We start from the raw sequence: 11694 nt of genomic DNA on the forward strand, positions 1-11694 counted from the left end.
CCTCAATAGACCATTGAGACTTGAAGGGCTTTCAGCACTGTGAGACCTGATCAGATTTGCCTTTTAGAAAGGGCATCTGGCTGCTGGGTGGGGAATATATAGGAAGGATGCAAACAAAGAGAAAGAGGAACCTATCAGGAGGATGTTTTGTATTAATCAAGGGGAGCTTAGACCAGAGTAGAGACAGTAGAATTGGAGAAAATTAAAAGTGCATTAAATGAGCACTTATTTAGGAGGTGAGAAGAGAGGACTTGGTGAGTGAATGGCCTGGAATTCTGTGGGGAGATAGAAGGCTAGTGATGGAGAATAAAAATGGAAAACTGGGAGAATAGTGAAGACAGTTATAGAGATATAGGACACAGGAGGAGGAACTGCCTGGAGTAAAGCAGACTACATTATGGAAGACAGGTAAGGACACAGCTTATGTTGCCTGGGTGTGTAGGGAGTTTAAGGTGTGAGGAAGTGAGTGAAGAACGAGCAATTGGAATGTCAATTTAGCAAACATTAATTGAGCTATTACTGTGCCTCAGGCTCTGGGCTATATGCTGGGACCAAACCCCATGTGTAGAATATTTTCAAGGAATTCCGAAGTCTAGTGAGAGATGGAAGAGGGTGAATAGATAATTTCAGGATGATGTGTCCATGTGGCAATAGACCTATGCGCAAGGTTCTAGAAGAAGATTACTTAATTGGACAAATATTGGTGAGCACCTACTCTATGCCAGGATGGTGCTAGGTGCAGTGGACTTGGCAGCAAGCGAGTCTAATAAGAGCCTTTCTTTCAAATAGGTAGCATTTTACTGGGGGACCTAATAAACGAATTAAAATAGACAGAGATTTGGATAAGTTCCAATGTGCTAGTTTGGGTTCTGGGAGATCGGAAGTAAGATACAGGTTGGTGAGGGAACATGTGGAAGATGCTGAAGGAGCCTGGAGGAGCCACCAGACTTCAATGCTGGTCTGACTCCATGGTGCAGGGAGGGAAAGTAGGAAGGTTGCGTGGGAGAAGTCTCCGACAGCTGTGCAGTCAATGGAAGTTTCAGTGAAGACGATTGTGGGTCCCCAAGCCAAAGTTGCCCGTCAGAGGAGTCCCATATCTTCCAGGAACAGGCTGCCTTTTTGTCGTGCCCTACTTAGCCATTGGGTGGTAGCATCTCATGGGAAGTATGGCTTTGGAGCATGTGAATGGGTGGATTACAAAGCACAACAGCAAAAGCCTTTGGACAATTACGCTTTGGCATTTGGAAGGCTGCAAAGCATTTCCTGTAGCCGCCATAAATATGGAATAAGTAATCCAGTTGCCAAGAGAGGATAACCTGGGAGAGTGAGATTTACATGATCAGGGATGGATGATCTCTCTGAGGAGATGATGTTTAACCTAAGACCAGAGGATGAGAAAGATCCAGCTATGTGAAAAACCTTGCAGAAGCTTCGTAAGTGGAGGGAACAACAAATGCAAAGACCCTGTGGTGGTATCTGAGGGTCCCTCAGAAGTCCAGCATAATTTGAATGTAATCAAAAAAGGAAAAGAATTGCAGAAGATGTAGGCAGGACCAGACAGTCCAGGGTTTTGTAAATCATTTAGAGGAGTTTAGATTTTATTCTGACTCCACAGAGTGGGGAATTTAAGTGGGCAGTGATAGATCTGACTTCTATTTAAGAAGACCACTGTGACTACTGTGTGCCTATAAGGTTTTCAGGAGTGGAGAGGAGTTAAATGGTAACAGACGATGATGATGTACACGGTCAAGGCACCCTGGCCCAGTCTGGGGTTACAGGGGGTTGCTGGTGTGGTGAGAAAAGGCTTCATGAAAGAGAGGGCACGTGAGCTGGGTCTGAAATGGATAAAGTCTTAGAGCAAATTGCAGAAAGGAGGTGACATTTGAGGTGAACTTCACTGGCTCTGTGAAGGAAGGAGCAATCTTGTAGCACTTCTCAAAATCACTAAAACGCAGAGCCAAAGCAGTCTTTAATTTAGTGCCTTTTATAGGAGAGAATATGGTTCAGGAGTAACCAAGGACATTTACAGGTGAAAAGTACTTAAATCAAAGCGACAGCATAGTTAGGGAAAGGAGACCAACCATTTCTTTTTTTTATGGCAGAGAACATTAACTGAATACGTCAGAGACTCTGATCATGTCAGAGACCGAAGCAGAGAAACAGAGAACACTCATCTTCCTTCTCAACCTGGCTCTGGATGCCAACTGGCAACGCTGTGAACCAGTTTGGGCTTGGAGGGCTCAGAGGAAGCCACTTTTGGAAGGCATTGGAAGCTGGTTTTTCAGAGCCTACTCTTTGCTACCCCTTTCTATGTTGAAAATAAAAATGTAAAGCCTAATTCATAGTCACAACAACAATGACACCAGGAATAAATCACAGACCAGAGTCCAAACATCTGGTCACGTTGCTCATCTACCATCTGGTGGGTCTCCTCTCAGCTCTGTGTTCTGACTGCCAGTCATCTCCCTTCTTCTCTGTCTTCACTGGCACTATTCTAGGTTTATAGTTTTGAAATAGGTTCCTAACTGGTTGCTCTGCCTCCAGACTCTTATACTGTATACAGGTCCAGTGACAAAACGATGGTTTGTTTTACAGTCCACAGATACATTTTACTTATTTTTTTAATGTCCATAACACTCTTTGGAATAAGATTTAAAAATTGAAAAATCAGATGATTTTATGTAAAAATCCATATTTCCTGTTTATGCTAAAAAATTGAATGATCTGACCTCACTGGTCCACACCGAGCAACAACTGGGTAAATCTTGCCATTTTGGTTTTTTTTTTTTTTTTTTTTTTTTAGCTCAGGCATCGGATTTTTGTCCAGTTCATCACAATCTCTCCTCTTTACTATTGTTTTAAACCCTTCTTTTTTGTTACCTGCCTGAGCCTGGGAGGTATTTGAACTTAAAGACATTACTTCAATGCTTTATACAGACTCATTTCTCTGAAACACGAATTTGATCATGTCACTCTCATGTTTAAAAACCTTCGCCAGCCTGCTTGCCTGGTGGATAAAGTTCAAACACTTGACCCTAGCATAGAAGGGCCTCCATAACCTAATCTTTTATCTCTGTGGCTCTTCCTAGCTCACACTCTGCCCAGAAGCCATGCTGAAAGGCGGTGCTCTGTTGTACCCCTCTGTCCTCTGCCTGCTCTAATGTCCTATTTTTAGCTGAATATCTTTTCTTCAATTTTTCATCTGGTAAATGTCTTCTCCTTAGTATCAGCTCATACTTTAAAAAAGTCCTTCTCGAACTTTTGTGCTTTCATTACCTGCTTCTTCTTCACTTTCTGAGGACCTTGGACCCTCCTCTATTGCAATGGTATTGCCAAGCCAATTCTTTCTCCTTCTTCAGACTGTACAACCCTTAGGGCTCTGAGCCATCTTTGCCTTTGGGAATTTATTGCAGAGTAGGTGAATGGTGTTCACTGAATAAATGTTTCAGATTGGAAAATTTGATCTTTCATTTCCTTACCTATAGGATGGAACCGTAATACCTTCTGTTCACATACAGGAGAATCATTGTGGGGATCAAATGACACAATGTCTTTTGTAAAAATGTTAACAAAGCACTTGGAAACTGCAAAGTAATATATGAGTAGATGGAATTAATATAGAAAATGTTATGTTCTCAACTTGCTTAAAATAATTTAACTGTGTTATTTCTAGCAAGAACAGTGATCTTGAAGGCAGGGCTATAGTTCTTGTTTATAGTTCCAATTTTATTGCCAATTAGTTGGATGACTTAGGGAAAGTAATTTTGCCTATCTAGACCTCAGTTTCCACAGCTGAGCTCTGGAAATTTTAAGGTATTTGTTATGTCTTTCATGTTTTTCTCCAGTCTTCCTAGAAGTAAAACATTTTTCTTGTTTTCAAAGACTTTCATTCTTCCACATTTGGTATGGTATATTAACCGTAATACAATAATGAATATGCAGCCATTCGTTTTTTCATTAAATATGCAAATCATTGAGAATAGCTATTGTGTGGTGCTGATTACTAACATTTTCTTAACCTGGAGTTATTTTCATTATTTAATCAACATTAACAAATGAAGGCTTCAGAGCTCAGAATTAAAAGATCTTAGCAGCTATATTACAATGCTTCACTCAATCTTATCTAGTCTCTTGCTCTAAACTCACATGGCAACCTCATCTTCTTCCCATATCACTCTAAAGTCGCCAATGTGATTGATAGTTTTGGGTAGAGGAGTTTAGAGTGGGGAGAATGTGGAGGAAATGAGGACTTTACTTGGAGGGAATAAAAGCTCTATCCTTGTTTTCTAATTGCAGCTTATAAAGTTGATTCACTGACTGCTGGTTTGAAATGGTGTCTGCTAACAAACAGTTGCTGGTACAGCTTCTCTGTAATGTGAGGTAAAATACCTATAAAAGCTTAGAAGAAGATGTAAACTCAGAACACAGCCATAAACTTGGACTGACAATCCCCTGAAGACTGGATCTGGGAGGACTTTTTGCCAATAGTACTGCCAATGAAACTGAAAAGAAAAGAACATTCTATGGGTGTGGGTGTGTTACTGAGGAAATGCTCTGTAGGCAAGAGGTAAGAAGGACTATTATTTTCATTGTGCATCTCCTGGATGGGGATCCCCTGGATGATGGGTCCCCTCAATTGTGTATACTTGAATGGATTCTCTGGTGAAAATTGATGACCACCCAGAACTTTAGTATGTGCCTTTTTTTTTTTTTTTTTTTTTTGTAAATACCTTATCTGCAGATACAATGGATTAAGATTTAAAATGAGACCATACTGGGTAGGCTGGATCCTGAATCTAATGAAAGCATCTTTATAAGGGACGGAAAGACACATACAGTGACTCACAGACAGAATATGTTTCAGGCCACATGAAGACAGACACAGAAACTGGAATGGTGGGGTCACAAGCCAAAGAATGCCAGGAGCCAACAAAAGCTCAAAGAGGCAAGGAAGGACTCTGTCGTAGAGACTTCAGAGAGAGCATGCCCCTGCTGGCACTTTATTTTGGACTGACCTCCAGAATCGTGAGAGGATATATTTTTGTTGTATTATGGGCAACCCTAGGAAACTAATACAATGGAAAACTCAAGTTTATGCCAAGTGTTGAAAATGGAAATGCCTAAGATAATGAAAATGAGTGGGTTGACCAGGGAGGCACAGAGGTGAAGTTGAGAGGCCACATGGTCTATGAAGACACATCCAATTGTTGTCTTCTAAGAATGCAGACATGGACTTGCCAAATATTTTTACAGTTCAGAAGAAGCTAGAAATTTGGATTTCATTTGTGTGCTCTTTTTTTTTTTTTTAACATTGCCCTAATTTTATTTCAAATGTGGTACTAACCGTGTCAAACATGTTTGAGAAAGTCATGGGTAGCCAGTATGGTGCCTCCTGTCTGGGTCTGTATTAGTTTGTTCTCATGCTGTTGATAATGACATACCCGCAGCTGGGTAATTTATAAAGGAAAAGGGGTTTAATGGACTCACAGTTTCACATGGCTGGGGAAGCCTCACAATCATGGTGGAAGATGAAGGAAGAGCAAAGGGACATCTTACATGGCACCAGGCAAAAGCGTGTGTACAGGGGAACTCCCTTTATAAAACCATCAGATCTCGTGACACTTATTCACTGTCACATGAACAGCATAGGAAAAACCTGATCCCATGATTCAATTACCTCCCACCGGGTCCCTCCCATGACATGTGGAACTATGGAGCTACAATTCAAGATGAGATTTGGGTGGGGACACAATCAAACCATATCAGGGTCCCTTTTAGCCATCCTTGTCCTGTGCATTTTCCCCATTTTATAAGAGGGAGAATTGTGTTCCTCTCCTCTTCCATTATTTATTTTCCAGCCTCAGAGAAGATCCTGCTCCAAAGACCACAGGGCAGGGGTTGGAAGGCAGAAGCAGGAGGGTTTTTGTGGCAGTGATGCATAGCATAATTGCCTGATGGTTATTTCCACTCATTAACTGTCTGTCTTATCAGAAGTCCAGGAAGAAGTTGCACAGAATACTATTTTAGTCTACCAGAACCACGGTTAGTAAAGCCTGCTGGAATGTGGAGCTGATCTAGGAGCTGTGGGCATTCAGCTGGTGAGTTATGAAATGGGAAAAGTTCCCTTATCCCACTAGCAGGGTGTGTGATGGGGGGAGTGACTCGTTTCTTTGGTGCCTGCAGCTCAAACCTCTAGGGGGAGTATGCAGATGGGCAGATCGTGGGGATCATGGACTCCAACCCCACAGCAGTGTCTAGGGTTGGGTGTTTACAGCTCTGGAAGCCCCAGTGTGTTACAGTGTGCTCTTTCAGCTTAGATATCTGCAGGCGGCTTGTGTTAATCAGCTCAATCAGACCCTCTGCCTTATCACAAGGACATAGGGCTTTCTGTATCCCGGGGTTCTTGCAGTAGTGTACTGGAAAAATCAGATCACGTGTTGGCATGGAGAATGAGTGCAAGGTTTTATTGAGTGGTAGAAGTAGCTCTCAGCAGATGGATGGGGAGCATGAGAGGGATGGAGTGGGAAAGTGGTCTTCCCTTGGGTCAGGCTGCTCTGTGGCTGGGCTATCCTCCAACTGTCCTCAGCCAAATTCCACGTCATCCCACCATCAATGGCCTGCCAGTGTCTGTTGGTGTGTTCTTCTGCCTGTGTGTTTCTCTTGACATCCACACACTTGTGTGTATGCCTGCTAGGGTCTCGGGGGCTATATAGGCACAGAATAGGGGGCATGGCAGGCCAGAGAGATCTTGGAAAATGCAACATTTGGATCTGAAAACAGGAGTGCCTGTCCTCCCCTGGGTTCGTGAGACTCAGACAATTTATTTCCTGATTATTGATTGGGGGTGAGTGGGAGAAGGGAAAGTATCTGAGGACATATTCTACATTACCAAAATTGATTACAAATGAAGAGGCCAAGAATGAGAAAGGCAGGGCCTGAAGAGCCTGATGGATCTGCCTTCACTCAAATTGGACTCCACTCTCAGGATTTCAGTCATGGTGCAGTTGTGTATCCAAGGGCAAAGCTTGGCCTCGATGTGATACCCTCATTGGTTTTGCTCTTCCTCCAACTTTCAGGGGAATGTGTTTCCAGAATCCTTTATTCCACCTTTGATGTGAAAATTGGGTCCATGATTACAAATGGCTGATCCATGTGGGGCTTAATGCCTAGGTGACGGGTTGATAGGTGCAGCAAACCACCATGGCACACGTTTACCTGTGTGGAGCCCTCACTGGGGACCCCACCCTTCTCTACCCAGCATTTTCTGCCCCCCTCCCATATCTGTTACACCTTGAAACAGAAGATTTGACCAGAAGGAAGTAGGGTCAAGGAACATTCATCCTTGAGGTCTTCTGGTAAACACTAGACTTTGATACATTTTATTTTATTTGGGGATGAGAAAACTACAAAACATGAAGAATATGAGCCTCAACAAGGACAGCAATCACAGTGGAGAAATATTGAGCACTGGTCATCCAAAATTATTGTGAAAGCTCCCAGCAAGATCAAATCCTTGACACCCATCTGCTGAAGGAAATAGATTTTTGTTTTAAGGAAATTATTTGGAGTCCTGAGATTCAAGGACAAACCTTGCATCTCATCTCTTTTGGATTTCTGTTGGAAATAGGACAAATGTTTCAAAGAAAGAACAAAATGTCATGTAAAAAGAACTGGATAAGATAAGGAAGAATTTATAGGCAGCCAAAAGTGCAACAGCAGAATTACATTAGCATTAACAAGCAGTGGAAAACTTAATTGAGATTATGGAAAATCATATTGTATTATAAGGGACAAATTTTAGAACTCTCCTAGAAAGTATGGGACAGAGATGAAAATGATGAGAGAGCATGTGTTTGTTTAAAAAGTCTGAGATAGTAGCTTTAACTTAAGAATTATAAGTCTTTCTACTTGAGAGAGAAAAGACAAATAAAAAATACTTCCAAAAAAATTCCTACTTATAAAAACCAATGTATAAATGTTAAAATTGGTTCTTTAAGTTACAAGTAATGTTAGTAAAACAAGCAGCAAAAAAACCCCAAAAAGATTACTGCAATATGCAATTGCATGTAATTTTTCTTTATTTTTAATTATAAAAATTATAAAATATTCAAACACCTCAAATGGATATAATGTAAATAACAAAAGCTTCTCTTTGCTTCTCCTTTTCTGTTCTCCAGAGGTAAGAGTGTTAGTATTTTGCTGAAAAGCCTTTCAGATCTTCACTCTGCATATACCAGCTCCTACAAATATTCATTAGTTTTTTGAACAACAAGATTATCACAGTAAACTTTCTGCACCTAGCTTTTTTTTTCATTTAGCAATATATTGTAGATGTTTCTTCTTATTAGAACATGAGGCTCTAGTTAATATTTGAAATTGTTGAAGGGATTTTTTGTATAGATGCACTGTAATTTATCCAACTCAGTAAATGTTTCCTTTTTATTTCTCAACTATAAAACTGGTACTGTGAATACTCTTATCTTTGCACACTATTTGTAAATAGTTTTTGCTAGGCTGTTTACAGAATACGTTTTTTGTTGTAAAATTACTCTGGTGAAAAGTTTGACCAAAGTATAAAGACAAAGGAATCCTACAAGGATACATGCAGGCACGAAATGAAACAAACAAAACTAAACCCTCAGACTGGTTGTTTACAAAGAAACAGAAATCAGGAAGGCTTTGGGATTTCCTTCTGCAGCACTGAATGCCAAAGTGTCTTTGAATAGAATTGCATCTGCAGAATTTTTAAGTGGAAAAGCAATATTGTGCACCAAGAATTTTGTTCTCCTCCAAGTAATGTTTTGTATGAAAAAGTCATTCCCTGATAAACTGAGACTCAGACAATTTATTTCCTGATTACTGATTGGGGGTAAGTGGGAGAAGGGAAAGTATCTAAGGACATATTCTACATTACCAAAATTGATTACAAATGAAGAGGCCAAGAATGGGAAAGGCAGGGCCTGAAGAGCCTGGTGGATCTGCCTTCACTCAAATTGGACTCCACTCTCAGGATTTCAGTCATAGTGCAGTTGTGTATCCAAGGGCAAAGCTTGGCCTTGATGTGATACCCTCATTGGTTTTGCTCTTCCTCCAACTTTCAGGGGAATGTGTTTCCAGAATCCTTTATTCCACCTTTGATGTGAAAATTGGGTCCATGATTACAAATGGCTGATGCATGTGGGGCTTAATGCCTAGGTGATGTGTTGATAGGTGCAGCAAACCACCATGGCACACGTTTACCTGTGTGACAAACCTGCAGGCTCTGCACATGTATCCTGGAACTTAAAGTGAAATTAAAAAAAAAAAAGAAAGAATTTGTGTCCATGATCGATGCCCATTTTAAACAATAATTCCTACTATTCTCTTCAAGTACTTGATAAAGATTGCTAAAATACTGAAATGTTTAAAACACCACTGAGAAAATTAATAGCAAAACAATCCATTTCTTCTCTATAAAGTGGAGCTGCAGAGAGTGACATATGACCATTTTCAATGCCACAGAACTTGAATAATAATTTTCTGCATCTTTAAAATTTATAGTAAAATCAGAAAAAGCCCAAGTTTTTGGAAAGAAATAAACCACCCACTGGCAGATATTATCTGTCATTAAGCCACTCCATTTTATCTTTCATCTAGGAATTATGAACATGTCTCAGTTCTTTACACTTAAAAGCAGTATGGAGGTCATTATTTCAAGCACATTAAAATGCATAGAAAAAGTGGAGGACATAAACAAAAGTAGTTATTTCTGGTTATCATTAGTTATATACTTCATTATATATGATAGATTATAATTATATATGATTGATTATACTGATCACTGTTTTCATAAAGTTAAATTGTGTCTTATATATTCTTTGTGTTTTTTTATTTTTAAAATTTTCTACGGAAAGAAGTTTGCTCTGCTTAATGAAAAGTAAGTGGACAGTATTAAAAATAGCTATATTTAATTTTAACATACCATAATATTGCAATGAAAAATATACACATTATTCAGATAGAAGAAAGTATTCCAAAATATTCACAGTAGTTGTCTGGATAGTAAAAGTTGGATTTTTTGGTCTTTTTTTCATATATTATAAAGAGCTTTCTTTTTTTTTTCTTTTCCTTTTGAGACAGGGTCTTATTCTGTCACCCAGGCTACAGTGCAGTGGTGTGATCATGGCTCACTGCAGCCCTCAACTTCCCAGACCAAAGCAATCCTCCCACTTTAGCCTTTAGAGTAGCTGGGACTATAGGCATGTGCCACTCATTCAGCTAATTTTTTTTTTTTTTTTTTTTTTTTTTTTTTTTTTTTTTTTTTTTGTGGAGACAGGGTCTCATAATGTTCGGACCCAGGTTAGTCTCGAACTCCTGGGCTCAAGCAATCTTCCTACCTAGGTCTTCCAAATTGGTGGGATTATAGGCATGAGCTACCATGCCCAGCCAGCCTTATTATTTTCAATTATGGAAATCAATTTAAAATTCTAGGTATAAAGAGTGCATTTAACAAAAATTCTCATAACCTATTGTGTGAAAGGAACTCTGTGGTTAGACAAATAAATGAGACATGCCACCTTATGCCAGGAGTTTCCATTCTCCTGAGGTACTGCTTCCTTAATTGTCCATATAAAAATAAAGTAAAAGAGAAGTCACTTTTTATTCACAGAGAAAGTTCATATGATGGGCTTCTTGGTTAATTTTGGTCAACTTGGTGAATTGGCTTAGAATAATTTTTGGTTTGTTAAACATATCTTTGTGAGAAGCATGATGAAGTTCAAAAAGCATGATCTATTGAATCAGAGCCATTTGGATTTAAACTCTCCTTCATTGCAAGTTTGCTTCATGAACCCAGGTGTTAAAATATCTGGGCCGCAGTTTCTGTTTTAAAAACGTGAACGCTTATATTGAACTGGCTAAGTCATTGGGAACGAAGTATGGAAAACTGCATATCACAGTGATTATGTAGGGGTCCCTGATGTATGGGAAATTCTCTCTTTGCCTTTTTCTGCAGGATTTAAAATTTACATTAAAAAGCTAGTGCCTCATATTTGAAGCAGTACTTTAAAGGTTGTAACCCAATTTCACACAGCCTATCCTTATTTCTCACTAAAGCCTACAGGTATCAAGAACCATGTCCAGGGCTCTGATGGGATCAAATAGCAGCCCAGCAGGCTGCAGGTTGTGCTCCCAAGTGGGGTGACCAGCAGGCTCATTCTCAGGGTTCACAGTGGCATGTTGAACTTTGGACAGAGCCAGGTTGGGCTTGATGGCCAAGGGTCAGCCAGGGGGCAGAGTAGAGTAGTTTGAATTTTCCAAAAGTTAGAAGGGACCTCAGATTTGCTGAACGACTTATCTATGCTGCTGTCATATTGAGAGATTTTCCTGTATTGTCTCTGTAATTCTCATAATTGTCCCGCGATCTGAACAATACTTCCATTCACAACTGAGAAAGCAGAGACCCAGAGGGAGTGAACTTGTTCAGGACAACTCTGATGGGAAATGAAGGGGCTGAAATTTGAACTGAAGCGCATTTGACTCTATACCATCCTTTTCCAGGTACAGAGTGGCATCTTGGTCCCTTTTGGAATGGCAGTCATCAAGTAACTGGATTTGTAGAGGCAGGGTTTAGTCTCTATAGAGAGGAACTTGACACAGTTAAGTGGGTTTTCAGGACTTGAGTTCCAGTGGACCTCAGGTCTATTCATTGTGACA

General features: G+C 40.0%; 2 long non-coding RNA genes across 2 annotated transcripts in view; both read left to right on the top strand.

Moving 5' to 3' along the window:
• The window catches only part of LINC01182 (long intergenic non-protein coding RNA 1182), a 276050-nt gene extending 272069 nt beyond the window's left edge, over positions 1-3981 (top strand). The window contains exon 4 of the long non-coding RNA NR_121681.1: positions 2103-3981. This is a non-coding gene — a long non-coding RNA (long intergenic non-protein coding RNA 1182). The remainder of the gene's footprint in view (positions 1-2102) is intronic.
• LOC107986182 (uncharacterized) overlaps positions 1-9251 on the top strand; it is a 103624-nt gene extending 94373 nt beyond the window's left edge. Inside the window, exon 4 of the long non-coding RNA XR_001741382.2 lies at positions 4297-9251. This is a non-coding gene — a long non-coding RNA (uncharacterized LOC107986182). The remainder of the gene's footprint in view (positions 1-4296) is intronic.
• The last annotated feature ends 2443 nt before the right edge of the window (positions 9252-11694 follow it).

This window comes from Homo sapiens, chromosome 4 (assembly GCF_000001405.40).
Source record: "Homo sapiens chromosome 4, GRCh38.p14 Primary Assembly".
Classification (NCBI taxonomy): domain Eukaryota; kingdom Metazoa; phylum Chordata; class Mammalia; order Primates; family Hominidae; genus Homo; species Homo sapiens.